This window comes from Homo sapiens, chromosome 2 (genome assembly GCF_000001405.40).
Source record: "Homo sapiens chromosome 2, GRCh38.p14 Primary Assembly".
NCBI lineage: Eukaryota > Metazoa > Chordata > Mammalia > Primates > Hominidae > Homo > Homo sapiens.
Window position 1 is genome coordinate 15,936,146 of NC_000002.12, and position 16,837 is coordinate 15,952,982.

The 16,837-nt window shown below is 49.7% G+C and overlaps 1 protein-coding gene, 1 long non-coding RNA gene and 1 pseudogene across 8 annotated transcripts, besides 2 other annotated features; 1 reads left to right on the top strand and 2 right to left on the bottom strand.

The window, feature by feature from the left end:
* Positions 120-6,288, bottom strand: MYCNOS (MYCN opposite strand). Of its 3 annotated transcripts, NR_110230.2 has the most exons (4): positions 5,387-5,540; positions 4,829-4,952; positions 2,355-2,580; positions 120-1,031 (listed from the first exon to the last, which is right to left on the bottom strand). It is a non-coding gene; the product is annotated as an MYCN opposite strand (long non-coding RNA). The 3 variants fall into 3 exon arrangements; NR_161163.1 differs by lacking the exons at positions 120-1,031; positions 2,355-2,580; positions 5,387-5,540 and adding exons at positions 3,753-4,206; positions 6,007-6,288; NR_161162.1 differs by lacking the exons at positions 120-1,031; positions 2,355-2,580 and adding an exon at positions 3,753-4,206.
* Positions 2,401-2,958: an enhancer, noted in NCBI's record as "OCT4-NANOG hESC enhancer chr2:16078668-16079225 (GRCh37/hg19 assembly coordinates)". NCBI's record gives its function as "activates a minimal SCP1, AML or CMV promoter by ChIP-STARR-seq in primed H9 embryonic stem cells {active_cell/tissue: H9 hESC(primed)}" and the evidence as "EXISTENCE:reporter gene assay evidence [ECO:0000049][PMID:30033119]".
* Positions 4,003-4,533: an enhancer, noted in NCBI's record as "H3K27ac hESC enhancer chr2:16080270-16080800 (GRCh37/hg19 assembly coordinates)". NCBI's record gives its function as "activates a minimal SCP1, AML or CMV promoter by ChIP-STARR-seq in primed H9 embryonic stem cells {active_cell/tissue: H9 hESC(primed)}" and the evidence as "EXISTENCE:reporter gene assay evidence [ECO:0000049][PMID:30033119]".
* Positions 4,405-10,859, top strand: MYCN (MYCN proto-oncogene, bHLH transcription factor). 5 transcript variants are annotated; one of them, NM_005378.6, is made up of 3 exons: positions 4,405-4,598; positions 5,803-6,709; positions 9,348-10,859. In NM_005378.6, the coding sequence occupies exons 2-3, from the start codon at positions 5,920-5,922 to the stop codon at positions 9,950-9,952; spliced, it is 1,395 nt and encodes a 464-aa protein (NP_005369.2). In that variant the 5' UTR covers positions 4,405-4,598; positions 5,803-5,919; the 3' UTR covers positions 9,953-10,859. The 5 variants fall into 4 exon arrangements, with proteins under 5 accessions (NP_001280157.1, NP_005369.2, NP_001280162.1 ...); NM_001293228.2 differs by having other exon boundaries at positions 4,405-4,908; NM_001293231.2 differs by lacking the exon at positions 5,803-6,709.
* Positions 14,544-14,836, bottom strand: RN7SL104P (RNA, 7SL, cytoplasmic 104, pseudogene; annotated as a pseudogene).

A 16,837-nucleotide genomic window follows, 5' to 3' on the forward strand; every position in this document is an offset into this window, starting at 1 on the left:
TAAAATTCTTACATCCAGCACCCCCACCCCTCCCCTGCCCTTTTTTTTTTTTTTTTTGCATTTGGGTTAGGCAGAGAGCTAGCTTTACTGTTTTCCAAATGAAGTCAATCGATCCCAAGGATTTTTAAATTATTTAATCAGTAAAAATGTACACATTTTGAGGGAGGTGTGAAGATCCTAGGAGAAACTGTGCTCTTGTCCCTGAAGACAGACTCAGTAGATCTTTTTTTTTTTCTTTTGAGACAAGGTCTCACTCTGTCATCCAGGCTGGAGTGCAGTGGTGTGATGATGGCACACTGCAGCCTTGATCTCCCTGGGCTCAGGTGATCTTCCTGCCTCAGCCTCCCAAGTAGCTGGGACCACAGGCACGCACCCACCACGCCCAGCTAATTTTTATATTTTTTGTAGAGACAGGGTTTCACCATGTTGCCCAGGCCGGTCTCAAAATCCTGGGCTCAAGCCATCTGCCCTCCTCAGACTCTTGAAGTGCCAGGATTACAGGCGTGAGCCACCATGCCTGGCCAACCCAGCAGATCTTTAATTCACAATCTGGAAAAACCATCTAGAGGCTGTTGCTCTCCTAGCCAGTCATGATTTGGGCCCTTCTCAACATGTGTATGTGTGTGTTGTTTCTTTGTGTGTGTGTGTCTTAGTAAAGAGGAGATTTGTAAACTAAAATATTCTCCTCTCTCAAAAATCACCTTAATTATAAACCAAATGCTGTGTATAACTCTATCCTAGCAGTTGGTGATTAGATTGAGGCATCCATTTCAGATGTGGGTCTCCTTCCCTGGTCCACAGTGAGCTCCTTGCGGCTGTACCTTAACTTACCTCTGTTCCAAACCCACCCAGGGGCTCAGACACAGTAATAGATGGGTACTTGTCTCAGTTCATTTTGTGTTGCTATAACCTAATAGCACAGACTGGGTAATTTATAAAGAAAAGAAATGTATTTCTCATGTTTCTGGAGGCTGAGAAGTCCAATATCAAGGTGCCAGCAATTGCTGAGGGCCTTCATGGCGTACCATCCCCTGGCAGGAAAAAGGAAGAGAGGGCAAGAGATCAAACTCCTAGCCTCAAGCCCTTTTATAATTAGCATTAATCCATTCACAAGAGTGGAGCCCTCATGACCTAAACACCTCACATTAGGTCCTGAGACAGGAATAATATAAGGTGGCTGCAGAATAATAGAAGATTTTGGGCAGCAATTTCACATGACTAGCAAAAGGAAACTGTTGAAATGGCTGCAGAGGCCATGGGCTAAGACCGTGAAAAACAGAGTGTAGACCAAGCTGGCTAAGACCCACTGAACCCAGCATGGCACTGGATTTGACCTAGGTTTCTCCTAGGACCTCATTATACGCTCATTAACATACTAAATCACACACCCCACTAGCATCATGACACTTCCGAGAACACCCATATTTGGTTTAAAAATAGGTGGTGTCACAGTTCTGAGAAATCTCCTTCTTTTTCTAGGAATGATCATGAATATTCTGCCTCTTGGTTAAAGAAACCCGTAAAGGTAGCAACCCCAAACCCCCTTTCGTGTGAGTCTCTCGAGTACACCCATATTCCCTTTTCTTGAGTGTGTACTTTTCCCTTTGCAATAAATCGTACTTTCACTATTTTCCAACTGGTCTTTGAATTCATTCTCTTGATGGTGTCAAGAGCCTGGACACTGGCTGGGGTCTAGGTCCCACTGGCATTTGGGGACCTCCCCTCCAACACTGTTGCACTGGGGGTTAAACTTCCAACGTGTTTTTTTTTGGAGGACACATTCAAACCATGGCAGTACTGAACAAAACCTTGGCTTTGAAACCATATGAAGATTTGTTTTGTGTGTGTTCACATAGTTGAAGTATTTCAACATTTTTAAGAGGGATTTTCAGGCTTCTCTATAAGCAGACTAAGAATCAGCATTAGCATGTTTTCTCCATGTACAAAGTCTTTTATCTTTCTACTTACAAATGAAGGTAACCAATAAATATTTGTTGAATTTTATCATTCTGTTAACCTTCAGATTCAGACTTGTCAGTAATTACTGGCTTGCATTAAAAGCAGGAGATTAGAGATTGAGGTCCAGGAAGTATAAATGATTTGCTCAAAGGCATGTAGAGTAACCAGGTCTCCTGTCCCTCTGTCCCCCTTTTCTGCTACACCTTGTCCCTCGACAAAGGGTGAATGACCTAGTGATGGTCATTCATCTGAGGAGAAAGGACAAAGGTAGGACTTTGAATCGGAGCAACTGAACCCATCCTGGCCTATTTTCACAGTCTTGCCACAGAAGATCTGGCCACCTTAGAAGGACTCATTCAGTGATCTTGGTCTTGAATAATACCATGAGTACTTACTATATACAGGTACACTGCTGTGCCGTAAGGATTCCCTCTGGAGCAAAACTGACCCAGGTCACAGGTTAGTGAGGGAGACTGAGCCTGTCTTCCACAGTGTCACGGAAGTGAGCACTAAACAAATACTCCCAGGCATGGATCATTACAAATGGAGGTGAGTGCTGGACAGGAAAGGACAGGATGCTAGGCGAGAATTCAGCAGGAGGGCTTGGTGGCGATTAGGGGGCTAGGGAAAAGCAGAAGTGGGGCTGTAAAAGGCTTTTGCAAAGATGAAGGCTTTTACATTTGTGAGGGAAATAACAATAATAAAGGTGCTTGGAAGGGCTGCTCATCCGCATTCATGGGCCTCTTCCTAGAACTCTGGGAATCTTTCTCCCTAGAGCTCTGTAGGCGTCCAGGGTCAGGGCTGGAAAGGCCTTCACAAATGCTAATCTGTGAGCATTTTATGGGTTGCCCCCTGACCCTCAGCATCCTCCTCCTTAACTAGATCCAATGGTGAGGTGAAGAGGTGGGGGCGATGGAGAATGGCATTTCCAGTTTGGAGAAAAAAGTAGGGAGAGGCGGGGAAGCCTTCCCACCCCAATCCCAGGGCCAGGTTCCCCTCTCTCCAAACAAGCCTAAGGAATGTTTTTCAAGGCAAAATCCCACCTCACTGTGTATTTGGTTGTGAAGGGGGCTGTCCAGGAGATCAGGGTTGTTTTTGGAGAGTTTGGAGGGCAGGGGCAATAATGTCTGACCCCCTGCAAACAAATACACCTGTAAGAAAAGCTAGACCAGAGTGAAGTAAAGCCAGGATTTGATGGTGGCGGGAAGGGAAGGGGCCAATGCTGCTGCTGGACAGAGGGGTGTTATTTTCCCCAGAAGAATAGCATGTCGTGGTCATCATCATAATAATAGCTGACACAACTATTATGGGCTGGGGACTTATAAGAGCTTTCATAACTCTCAGGTAGGAGGCACTACGAACTCCATTTCACAATTGAGGAAACTGAGGCACAAAGAAACGAAGTAGTGACAGCAGCTTTCCTTTTTCCCTTCAACAGTTTGGAATCAAGCTGTTTGAGCCGAGGCTGGGTCTCAGGAGGTGTGGACAGCACTTCCATCTCGGTAAATCAGATTCGCCTGCCCATAACTGGGGAGAATGGTGGCTTTGAAAAGGTTAACTTGGGAGCCCTGGGGACGGCTGCAGGGAACGTACGCCCATTCCCCCTAGGAAGCAGAGCCAGGCCGCCTCCTCCTCCGCAGTGGTGAGGACGCGTGGACAGTCCCGCGGGGGCGGCGGGAGACCTGCGGAGTGGCCGCACTCCAGGTCCGCGCCAAGGCCGGGCAGCTCCGCTTTCTGCTCAGTCTCCGCGAGGTGTCGCCTTCGGCCGAAGAAACCACCGCGGCGCCACCCTCGTAGCTCGCACTTATTTATTTATTTATTTTCAAACAAGGGGGGCGCCCCTCTTCTTTCAATTTGAAACTGGAAACATCCAGAGGTCTTGTTCCTAAGGGGGCGCGTCCTCTCCCTGCTATTTTGCACCTTCGGACTAGCCTTCTTTCGTAATTACACAGGAGCAACCTCCCTGCAAGGCCTTGCTCAACGTTGGCCTCGCGCTCAGCTGCACAACACGCAGTCAAAGCGGGGGCTGGGTTAGAAGCATCGGTCTCCCCTCCCCAACACACACCCCCGGAGCCCTCCGTAATTTTTTTTTCTTTTAATGACAAGCAATTGCCAGGCTCGCAGGGTGGGTGCTGCATTGCACCGCTCCGCGCGCAGCTGGTTCTCAGAGTGCAGCCGGTGCAAGCCCGGGGGTCCAAAAGGGCGGGAGGAGCACACCCTGGGCTTCCCAGCTTTGCAGCCTTCTCTCTGCAAAGAAAAGCAAGTGGCTTTTGGCGCGAAAGCCTTGGCGCCTCCCCTGATTTTTATGGAAATCAGGAGGGCGGGGTAAAGCCGCTTTCCTCTCCTTTCTCCCTCCCCCTTGTCTGCGCCACAGCCCCCTTCTCTCCCCGCCCCCCGGGTGTGTCAGATTTTTCAGTTAATAATATCCCCCGAGCTTCAAAGCGCAGGCTGTGACAGTCATCTGTCTGGACGCGCTGGGTGGATGCGGGGGGCTCCTGGGAACTGTGTTGGAGCCGAGCAAGCGCTAGCCAGGCGCAAGCGCGCACAGACTGTAGCCATCCGAGGACACCCCCGCCCCCCCGGCCCACCCGGAGACACCCGCGCAGAATCGCCTCCGGATCCCCTGCAGTCGGCGGGAGGTAAGGAGCAGGGCTTGCAAACCGCCCGGCGCCCAGGGAAGCGACGAGCGCCGGGGCAAGGCAAGCCCTGGACGGGATTGCGACGTGCGCACCGGGCGCCCTAATATGCCCGGGGGACTGTTTCTGCTTCCGAAACAAAACCATCTCTGGGTTTTCCCAGAAAAGCCAGTTCCAGCCCCGAAGGCATCCTGGCTAGAGGAGACCCGCCCTAATCCTTTTGCAGCCCTTACCGGGGGGAGTAATGGCTTCTGCGAAAAGAAATTCCCTCGGCTCTAGAAGATCTGTCTGTGTTTGAGCTGTCGGAGAGCCGGTGCGTCCCCACCCCAGGCTGGGGTTCTTCTCCAAAGGGTGCCCCTGGAGGAAGAAGAGGGGGGGATTAGGCAGGGCGAGGCCGCCGCGGTCGCAATCTGGGTCACGGCTGCTCCAGCTTGGAGGAGAGGCGGCTCTCCCGGCGACCCTCCTCGCGCGGGCGCCCCTGCCATTCCCGGGAACAGGGGCTCAGCCTCTCCCTCCCTGGAAGAGGACGTTGTCGTGGGTTTGGAAGAGCAGGGGTGGGCTTAGAGAGCTTCCAATTAAGCTATTGGCAGGAGTATCCCTGCAGCGGGTGAATGCCGAGGGGCGTTTGCTCAAATTTGGGGAGGGGAAGGATTTGTGGATATGGGTGTCTGTTGTTGGTCTCTGTCTAGAGAAAGGCTTTTTTTTATTTGCAAAGTTTTCTAAATCCCCTGCTATCATTTGCACTCCTGAGGTTGCATTTTTACAAAGGGGGTAGAAGGTACTCCAAATACCATTCCCGGTAGCTGGGTCGGAGAGCCTGGGGCTTCCCCTGAGCAGCCGGCCCCACACCGCTGCGAGTGCGGTTGTCTGCGTGCTCGTGAGAGCTAGAATTCTGCAGCCAGGAACAGCCCCCTCCCCCAGGCAGTGCCTTGTGTGAATGAAATGGCAGTTTCCAAAGTTGCGGAGCCTCGCCACCACCCCCTGCATCTGCATGCCCCCTCCCACCCCCTGTCGTAGACAGCTTGTACACAAAAGGAGGGCGGGAGGGAGGGAGCGAGAGGCACAACTTCCTCCACCTTCGGGAGCAGTGGGCAGAGTGGGGGGCTTGGAGGGAAGATTGGGGAACCTGGTTAGAGGGGGCGCCCATTGCCTATCCCCTCGGTCTGCCCCGTTTGCCCACCCTCTCCGGTGTGTCTGTCGGTTGCAGTGTTGGAGGTCGGCGCCGGCCCCCGCCTTCCGCGCCCCCCACGGGAAGGAAGCACCCCCGGTATTAAAACGAACGGGGCGGAAAGAAGCCCTCAGTCGCCGGCCGGGAGGCGAGCCGATGCCGAGCTGCTCCACGTCCACCATGCCGGGCATGATCTGCAAGAACCCAGACCTCGAGTTTGACTCGCTACAGCCCTGCTTCTACCCGGACGAAGATGACTTCTACTTCGGCGGCCCCGACTCGACCCCCCCGGGGGAGGACATCTGGAAGAAGTTTGAGCTGCTGCCCACGCCCCCGCTGTCGCCCAGCCGTGGCTTCGCGGAGCACAGCTCCGAGCCCCCGAGCTGGGTCACGGAGATGCTGCTTGAGAACGAGCTGTGGGGCAGCCCGGCCGAGGAGGACGCGTTCGGCCTGGGGGGACTGGGTGGCCTCACCCCCAACCCGGTCATCCTCCAGGACTGCATGTGGAGCGGCTTCTCCGCCCGCGAGAAGCTGGAGCGCGCCGTGAGCGAGAAGCTGCAGCACGGCCGCGGGCCGCCAACCGCCGGTTCCACCGCCCAGTCCCCGGGAGCCGGCGCCGCCAGCCCTGCGGGTCGCGGGCACGGCGGGGCTGCGGGAGCCGGCCGCGCCGGGGCCGCCCTGCCCGCCGAGCTCGCCCACCCGGCCGCCGAGTGCGTGGATCCCGCCGTGGTCTTCCCCTTTCCCGTGAACAAGCGCGAGCCAGCGCCCGTGCCCGCAGCCCCGGCCAGTGCCCCGGCGGCGGGCCCTGCGGTCGCCTCGGGGGCGGGTATTGCCGCCCCAGCCGGGGCCCCGGGGGTCGCCCCTCCGCGCCCAGGCGGCCGCCAGACCAGCGGCGGCGACCACAAGGCCCTCAGTACCTCCGGAGAGGACACCCTGAGCGATTCAGGTAAAGACCGAACTCGGGTCCGGCTGCCTCCCTGGGGCACTGGACCCCGGGTCGCGTCCCCTTTGTTAGTGCTCGTATGTCTTGGCCTGGGGAGCATTTTGGAGGCAGTGCTAGGGGCAGAGAGGTCCTGTTTCCCCCAAGTCTCTCCTCGGGGTAAAGAGAAGGGGCTGAGAGAATGCCGTTGCAAAAGGGGTGCTCTCCAATTCTCGCCTTCACTAAAGTTCCTTCCACCCTCTCCTGGGGAGCCCTCCTCTAGGCCATCACGGGCCCTCACCCGGTCCCCCACCTCTCTTTTGCAGCGCAGTCTGAGGAATAAAATTGGAGAAAGTTGGTGGCTAAACCGGGTGGGGGTTTAGGGGGTTGCTGGGTGCACTGCCTGGACAGAAACCTGTTAGCGCAGGGGTGAAAGGGACTCTCTGGCCCAGGTCAGGGGAGGGAAAGACATCCCGAGAAGATTCAAGGGCTGTGCAAAGCCCTGTTTAAGGCGCAGGAACTTATAGGAGGGTTGCACAGATGGCTAGAGCCGATTTTCTATTCTTTTTCTTTTTCTTTTTTTTTTTTTTTCAAATGTCGGTACCTTTCCCTTCCCCCATCCTCGGTGGGTGGTGGGCTATTTGCTCCTGGTGCGTGGCCAGCAGGCGGCGATATGCGAGGCCAGCAGGCGGGCCCGGGATCTGAAAGGCTGGGGGTGGTGGGGGCACCCTCCCTCCCTCCATTCAGCAGCTGGCTGCAAGTGCAACAGCAGTTGTGTACATTCTCAGGGGGCCTCCTCTTTCCAGTGTGCAGTGGAAACTGGCTGTAGTTTTGTCTTCCAGCCTGAATTCCAGGCCTAATTTGAGATGTGAGTTGTATCTGTAACCCAGTGCCCTTGAAGGTGAGGGCAGGCACTCAGCAGCCTCTCCAGGAAGGCTCACATCCTGGGAGGACTCACTGATTAGTTCTATTGTGTTCATTTGTCTGTGTCTTAAGCTGAAGGGAAGAGTTAAAACCAAGCCTTTCCCTGGGGGTCTGGATGAACAGAACTCAACCCAAAGAGTGGCATTGCCTTGTCCTTGGAGCAGGGAGCTGGGACCCCCCTTGGACTTTGAAAACCAGTGTTTTCAGAATGCAGGTGGATAACAAGCCTAAATTTACTTCTGGGCTGAGGAGAGATCTTTGAGGCTCCTGGAAGGAAACTTGGTGATAAGCCTCCAGTTTGAAACGGCTCTGTCCCTTTAATGTCTGTGCCTTGACAGCTTTTGGTGAGGAAGCACTTCCTTCCAACAGCTGTCTTCTTGGCAGAAAACCAAAACATTGGCTTAAAGGGACCCACAGACTGGAACAGCCTCACATTTCGGCTTTAGAACAAATCCCACAATTGTTCAGCTTTCCGGTCCCCTTCAGATCAAGCAGAAGATATGTTTTGATTTTCATGCTTGTATTTTAAACAATAATTTTCTACCCCAGCGTGGTAGTCAATGAGGAGAGAGGGGAAGAATGCGCACATGATGCTACACGTTTCTGTTGTTGCTGTTATTATTGGTGGCTTTGAGGAGAGCTGCTCCCATTTGGGGGTTTATACCAACTGTGGATTATGGCTTTGTCATTAAGATTTGATCTTTGTTAAATGAAAAACTGTTTATTGTATAAAACTCAGGTTTGTGGACGAAAAGTTGTTTTTTTTCTTCAGTTAATTAAATTGTTCCTCAAGTTTGTTTAAGGACTTAAAATCAAACACAACCATGTGTAAACTGCTAAATGAGGCTCCTAAAATGAGAGGCCTCAACTCTTTAAGTGTGGAGCTAGAAATGTAAATAAGTCCACAGGGCAGACTGGTGATTATGATAAAAGCTACCATTTACTGAGCATCTGTCTACTAGGCTCAGCTCTATGCTAAGTCTACATGTTATCTGTCAAAGTGGTATCATCCCCATTTAATAGCTGAGGAAACAGAGGCTTAGAAAGGCTGGGTAACTTGACCAGGGTCATGCAACTAGTCTGCGGTGGAGCCAGGATTCTGTCTGACCCTAAAGGCCAAGTTCTTTATATTTATTTCTACCACCTGCTAAAGTCTTGAATGGAGGCTGAAAGCACAGTTGGGGTATGGGGAAGAAAAATATATATACATACATATATGTATATGTATGTATGTATGTATGGGGGGTTGTTTTGTTTTTGTTTTTGATAAGGAGTTTTGCTCTTGTTGCCCAGGCTGGAGTGCAGTGGTATGATCTGGGCTCACTGCAACCTCCGCCTCCCGGGTTCAAGTCATTCTCCTGCCTCAGCCTCCCGAGTAGCTGGGATTACCGGAGCATGCCACCACACCCAGCAAAGTTTTGTATTTTTAGTAGAGACAGGGTTTCACCATGTTGGCCAGGCTGATCTTGAACTCCTCATCTCAGGTGATCTGCCCGCCTCCGCTTCCCAAAGTGCTGGGATTACAGGTGTGAGTCACCGCGTCCGGCCTACAGATATATTTAATTTAAAGAGATCTAAAACAAATACAAAACTGTCCACATCTATGTTGATGGACCCATAAAAATAGCAGTCTGCCAGGGTCTGCCGGAAGAGACAGATAAGCATACATATTAACATGGATATATATGTGAATTTCATTCAAATGGTTCTCACATGAGAGTAACTAGCATCTTTCTCTCAGATGATGAAGATGATGAAGAGGAAGATGAAGAGGAAGAAATCGACGTGGTCACTGTGGAGAAGCGGCGTTCCTCCTCCAACACCAAGGCTGTCACCACATTCACCATCACTGTGCGTCCCAAGAACGCAGCCCTGGGTCCCGGGAGGGCTCAGTCCAGCGAGCTGATCCTCAAACGATGCCTTCCCATCCACCAGCAGCACAACTATGCCGCCCCCTCTCCCTACGTGGAGAGTGAGGATGCACCCCCACAGAAGAAGATAAAGAGCGAGGCGTCCCCACGTCCGCTCAAGAGTGTCATCCCCCCAAAGGCTAAGAGCTTGAGCCCCCGAAACTCTGACTCGGAGGACAGTGAGCGTCGCAGAAACCACAACATCCTGGAGCGCCAGCGCCGCAACGACCTTCGGTCCAGCTTTCTCACGCTCAGGGACCACGTGCCGGAGTTGGTAAAGAATGAGAAGGCCGCCAAGGTGGTCATTTTGAAAAAGGCCACTGAGTATGTCCACTCCCTCCAGGCCGAGGAGCACCAGCTTTTGCTGGAAAAGGAAAAATTGCAGGCAAGACAGCAGCAGTTGCTAAAGAAAATTGAACACGCTCGGACTTGCTAGACGCTTCTCAAAACTGGACAGTCACTGCCACTTTGCACATTTTGATTTTTTTTTTAAACAAACATTGTGTTGACATTAAGAATGTTGGTTTACTTTCAAATCGGTCCCCTGTCGAGTTCGGCTCTGGGTGGGCAGTAGGACCACCAGTGTGGGGTTCTGCTGGGACCTTGGAGAGCCTGCATCCCAGGATGCTGGGTGGCCCTGCAGCCTCCTCCACCTCACCTCCATGACAGCGCTAAACGTTGGTGACGGTTGGGAGCCTCTGGGGCTGTTGAAGTCACCTTGTGTGTTCCAAGTTTCCAAACAACAGAAAGTCATTCCTTCTTTTTAAAATGGTGCTTAAGTTCCAGCAGATGCCACATAAGGGGTTTGCCATTTGATACCCCTGGGGAACATTTCTGTAAATACCATTGACACATCCGCCTTTTGTATACATCCTGGGTAATGAGAGGTGGCTTTTGCGGCCAGTATTAGACTGGAAGTTCATACCTAAGTACTGTAATAATACCTCAATGTTTGAGGAGCATGTTTTGTATACAAATATATTGTTAATCTCTGTTATGTACTGTACTAATTCTTACACTGCCTGTATACTTTAGTATGACGCTGATACATAACTAAATTTGATACTTATATTTTCGTATGAAAATGAGTTGTGAAAGTTTTGAGTAGATATTACTTTATCACTTTTTGAACTAAGAAACTTTTGTAAAGAAATTTACTATATATATATGCCTTTTTCCTAGCCTGTTTCTTCCTGTTAATGTATTTGTTCATGTTTGGTGCATAGAACTGGGTAAATGCAAAGTTCTGTGTTTAATTTCTTCAAAATGTATATATTTAGTGCTGCATCTTATAGCACTTTGAAATACCTCATGTTTATGAAAATAAATAGCTTAAAATTAAATGATGCAACTCAACCTTTTCCTTAATGGCATTACACTCTGTCCCTTAAGGAGCAACCATAAATAATCCATAACCTATAGAGGGAATTTGGTTTCCGTAAATAGCCCTTTTTGCACCTGTACAATCCTGGTTGGGGGGCATGAGTCATTGTCCCCACTTAAGGTGGAGGGAACTGAGTTTGGGGAAATTAAGGCAGTTCTCCAAGATTATGCAGAATAGAGATGTTATTAGCGACTATTGTGTGCATTGTAGCAATGGCATTTGATAATTTACAGAGCACTTCTGTATACTGTGGCTCCTTAGTGGAATTAAGCTGAGACCTCAGATCAGTCCCTTTAAAAGAAAAGTAAAAATAGCCACAGGGTTGTTTAACTCGCTTGTATTGGGCTTTGGTAGTATTCGTCCCATTGGCAGACAGTCTTCTATTTTAAGGTAGAGCATAGTTTGTCTCCAAGAATTCATTGTTAAAAACATTCACTAGGATCTGTGGAGGTTCTAGGCTAAGCAGAGTAAGCAGAATAAACAGATGGAAATGGGTTCCTCCCTTCAATGAACTCAACCTGATTCACCAAAGTGTAATTCACGAGTGACAGTTACGTAGTCCAGAGCAAGTACCAGGTGCAGGAGAGACCCTGGGGTCACAATGGAGACCCCATATGGGTGGCATGGCTCTCTACTTGCCATTCCTATTACACAGCAGTGTCTTGGCTACTTGGGCTGCCCTTTGGAAATGGGATCAATCTTGCAGGCTCCAGAAGACAGAGCCAAGACTTGTGTGTTAAGGAGATAGTTTACCTGTTGGGACATAAGAGCCTTGCTTGTAAGCAGCTTCTCAGAACTAAAAGTGTACAAATAACCTATTTCTCTTTTGAGTGTCAGGTTGTACTCGGTTATTTCTCTAGGGTTTTGTTCATCTCAGATTTTTAACTGTGAGCCGAAAAAAAAGAAAAAGGCCTTTTGCTTCACTGAGAAGAAAGCAGGTCCAGAGATGAGACAGCTTTGCTTGCCTGGACACACAGTTTGTCAGGGGCAGAGATGGGAGACACCAAGCCATGTGTCCTTGTCTGCTTTGGTCATTTTTATTTGTTTCTTTTGAGATGGAGTCTCACTCTGGTGCCCAGGCTAGAGTGCAGTGGTGCAATCTCGGCTCACTGCAACTTCCGCCTCCCGGGTTCAAGCGATTCTCCTGCCTCAGCCTCCTGAGTAGCTGGGACTACAGGTGTGTGCCACCATGCCCGGCTAATTTTTTGCAGTTTTAGTAGAGACCAAGTTTCACCATGTTAGCCAGGATGGTCTCGATCTCCTGACCTTGTGATCCACCTACCTCGACCTCCCAAAGTTCTGGAATTGCAGGCGTGAACCACCATGCCCAGCCGCTTTGGTCATTTTATAAAGGCAAGTAGGAGTTTAGAACTCAGTCCTCCTTATCCTGCTTATCGCACACCCTTGAGATACGAGGTTGGTGATACTACCATGGACATCTTTCTGATGGTCTCGCCATGTAGAAAATAAGATAAAATGCCCTTTAATTCTCCTAGTCCCCATCCCCAGACTAAAAAATAATGCACCCTTTCTTTTTGAATTGTCATTCAAAAAACTTCCGTTCGTTTGCATTTTACAGGCCCCAAATCACTCACGGCCTCTGCCCCTGTGTGTGTGCAAGAGCCAAAAGAAAGTTAAGCAACCTCACATTAATTGTGTACCTAAGATTCTTGAAGCCCAGCTCAGTCATCCCAGTTTCTCTATTTGTGATTACCATAAGGAACCTACCTGAGTGTGTCCAATGAAATGGAATGCTTAACCGTGAAGAAAGAAAACTGTTCATATGAATGAGGCCACTAAACTACAATTCCTACTATGCTCTCTTTTTGCTCGGGCTGCTGGGAAGCTCAGAGCCAAATTCCACCCCCTCTAACATCTCCAGTGGTCATTCTCTTCTAAATGTTTACGGTTTCTTGTTTTCCATTGTTAGGTTAGTCATCTTTTTAATGTATATAATGTAGTATATAACATGAAACGTTTTTGCATTAGGTGGACCACAAATATGCACCTAAAGGATTAAAACTAAAGTGAAAAAATCCCATATTTGCCTTTTCTGACCTAGCTGAGGGAATGTCACCAAATTTAGCTCTGCAATTATCTATAAAGTAATTGCTGTAGTCACAGAAGAATTGAACTAGTTGTTTCAATAACATGAGAAACCATCTCTGCATTCCAAGAGCAGTTTTGAGACTGGGAAAGAGCTCTACATCATTTAGTTCAATAAACGATAGAGCTGAGACGAAGCACAGAGATCATCTCATTGAAATTCATTTCTCAGAATGAGGGTGCGGGATCCCACCTGGAATTAATGGCTTAACCCAGGGAGACTAGAGCCGGTGTCTCCTATGACCCGCCCAGTGCCCTTCCCCATAACATTCACTTTCTCATTGCCCACACTGTAGCCTCCCCACCTCCTGGCCTGCCCGTCCACCTACATCATGCTTCCATATTAACCCTTCTAAACCACCTACTCTTTATGCAAACTTCCAACAGTTCCCTACTATTTACAGAATCGAGTCCCGACTCTCCAGCCCAGCACAGAGGCACTTCTACCCAGTCCCACCAGCTCCATTGCCCATGGCCCTCCATGTGCTGGACTCTGGCTGTTTCTCATCCGTGACTTGTTTCACCACATCCCTCCTTCTAGGTTACCCAGATTCCATTAATTGAAATCCTTCTCAATCTTGCACCCCCAGGTAGGCCTTTCCCAGCCCTTGGCCTCTGTGCACTTATCTTCTAGCTGCCTTATGCACCTCCTGGACCCCCTAAACTGTGGGCTCCCTTAAGGCAGATAGGGCTCTCATTTGCCTCTGATTCTGAGCATCTGCCCTGTGACTGACAGGTGACAGAGCCTTAGCAGATGCCAGCAGTATAGACGGTAACAGAGGAAGGAGCGAGGAGAGGATTTCCATTATGGGTGGGTCTCCCACCAACTCCAGTTCACAAGCTCTCAGGCTAATTCAGATGGGAAAAGACATCCCTTAGACATCAATGAGTGTCTGGTACTGACTATGCTGGCAGTTCTGAAGAAGTGAAGATAAAATGCTCATAGAGGACTGTCTACAAGGAGCCCACAGTCTGCAAGAGAGTTAAAGCCCTGGGGGTTGTATAGAAGGCAAGAAGAGAAACCAAGAGGCACTGGGTTGAGGGGCTGATGAATGAAAGCATATGAGGGGCCTAGTGGCTGAGTTTGGGGCTATCTGAAGGAGGAAGCTGGTCCTCTGCCTGGGTTCACTGAGTCTACGCCTGGCCTGGCTTGTGGCAGCTCAGACACTTGCCTCAGGCCACAGATGGTCTACACTCGTAGTGAAAAAGGTTGCAATGCCTCCCACCCCTGTGTAGCACTGCAGAGCTTCCCAAGTTTTTGTATGCATGAGTCTCAAAAATCCTTGAGGATTTTTGACCAGTTTATCACATTCCCACATTATAAGTGAGGGAATCTGGTCTTCTGAGTTTTAGTTTCATTAATCCCTATGGTGGCTATGTTTTGAAATTCTGATGTGAGTTGTTTTCGAAATCAGAGGTTGTTTGATTTGGAAGAGGCATAGAAGCCAACTAGTTTACTCTCCCATTTCAGGGGAGGCACCTACAGTCTGCTTGTGAGAATTTTATTTTTCCTTTATTTTATTTTTCTTTTTTTTGCAACAGGGTCTTGCCGTGTTGCCTAGCCTGGCGTGGAGTGGCTAATCTCAGGCACAGTGCCACTGCTGATCAGCACAGGAGTTTTGACCTGCTCCATTTCTGACCTGGGCCAGCCAGTTCATACTTCCTTAGGAAACCTGGTGGTCCCCTACTCCCAGGAGTTGCCATATTGATGCTAAACTTAGTGTGGACATCCAGTAGGCATAGGGTGCTACAGCTCAGAACTTCTGGACTCAAGTGATCCTCCTGCATCAGCTTCCTGAGTAACTCGGACAACAGGTGCACACACACTGCCGTGCCTGGAAGCGTTCTTTTTTCTTTTTTTCTTTCCCTCTTTCCCATTCTTTCTCTCAACAAATATTTATTTAACAGTTACCATGTATCAAGCACTGTTCTAAGTGCTTGGGAGACATCAATGAACAAAAAAGACAAAACTCTCCCAAATCTTCTCTGCTTTCTTGAAGTTTATAGTGTAACAGAGAGTGACAGCTGTACAAATAAACATAATAAGCAAATAAATTAAACAGCATCTAATATGGTGGCAAATGCCGTAAAAAATAAGTAGAAAGGCTAGAGGAATTCAGGGATGCCAACAGCAGAGGTAGGAGGCTCAGGGAAGGCGCATCTGGTCCTGGGAGCTGAGGGGCAGGGCCTGTGGGGAGAGTGTCCTGCCCTGGGCACTCTTGTGCTTGCTCAGAAACCAGATCTCAGGCCTCAAGCTTCTCGGTTCAGTGCTTAACTTCCCTTATCTCTGGCTGGGCGTGGTGGCTCACGCCTGTAATCCCAGCACTTTGGGAAGCCAAGGCAAGTGGATCGCAAGGTCAGGGGTTTGAGATCAGCCTGACCAACATGGTGAAACCCCATCTCTACTAAAAATACAAAAATTAGCTGGGCATGGTGGCTGGTGCCTGTAATCCCAGCTACTCAGGAGGCTGAGGCAGGAGAATTGCTTGAACCTGGGAGACGGAGGTTGTAGTGAGCCGAGATCACACCACTGCACTCCAGCCTGGGTGATAGAGCGAGACTCCGTCTCAAAAAATAATAATAAAAAATAAAAAATCTTCCCTTATCTCCCTCTGGACATTGGTAAATGTACCCCACCAATTTCCATTCATTGTCTCGAGGAGAAACCATTGAGCATAGTAGTTAAGAGTATGAATCTGGGCTGGGCATGGTGGCTCATGCCTGTAATCCCAGTACTTTGGGAGGCCAAGGCAGGTGGATCACCTGAGGTCAGGAGTTCAAGACCAGCCTGACCAACATGATGAAACCCCATCTCTACTAAAAATACAAAAAAATTAGCCAGGTGTGGTTGCGGGCACCTGTAATCCCAGCTACTCGGGAGGCTAAGGCAGGAGAATTGCTTAAACCCAGGAGGCGGAGGTTGCAGTAGGCCAAGAGCGCGCCATTGCACTGCACCCTGGGTGACAGAGCAAAACTCCGTCTCAAAACAAAGAGTATGAATCTGAAGTTAAGACTCCCTGGGTTTGGCCGGGTGCGGTGGCTCACGCCTGTAATCTCAGCACTTTGGGAGGCCGAGGCAGGGAGATCACCTGAGGTTGGGAGTTCAAGACCAGCCTGACCAACATGGAGAAACCCCGTCTCTACTAAAAATACAAAATTAGCCAGGTGTGGTGGCTCATGCCTGTAATCCCAGCTACTCAGGAGGCTGAGGCAGGAGAATTGCTTGAACCCGGAAGGCAGAAGTTGCGGTGAGCCAAGATCATGCCATTGCACGCCAGCCTGGGCAACAAGAGTAAAACTCCATCTCAAAGAAAAAAAAAAAAAGTTAAAGACTCCCTGGGCTTGAATTTGATTCCCAAACTCACAGGCTCTGGGTTGTGCAGCTCCCCAACTGGTACAACGAGGGGATAACACTGGGATTATTAGCGGGTTGGCATCATTATTATTAATATGTTTTAAAATGGTCTCACTCTGATTGCCCAGATTGGAGTGCAGTGGCCTGATCTCGGCTCACTGCAGCCTCGACCTCCTGGGCTCAGGCGTTTCTCCCACATCAGCCTCCCAAGTAGCTGAGACTACAGGCGCATACTACCATACCCAACAAATTTTTTCCATTTTTAGTGGAATGGGGTTTTACTGTGTTGCCCAGGCTGGTCTCGAACTCCTGACTTCAAGTGATCCTCCTACCTTTGCCTCCCAAAGTGCTGGGATGACAGACACAAGCCACTGCACCCCGCCTTCAATTGATTTATATACAGCACATAGAATAGTGTCTGGCATGTGACAGGTGTGGTTTAAGCCTGCTCAATAATATGATTTGATGTTGATGGG

Bases quoted from the DNA above. Each gene is read 5' to 3' on its own strand.
- MYCN (NM_001293228.2), top strand. From the start codon at position 5,920: ATGCCGAGCTGCTCCACGTCCACCATGCCGGGCATGATCTGCAAGAAC. The intron at 6,710-9,347 runs GTAAAGACCGAA...TCTTTCTCTCAG, and splicing joins GGACACCCTGAGCGATTCAG to ATGATGAAGATGATGAAGAG.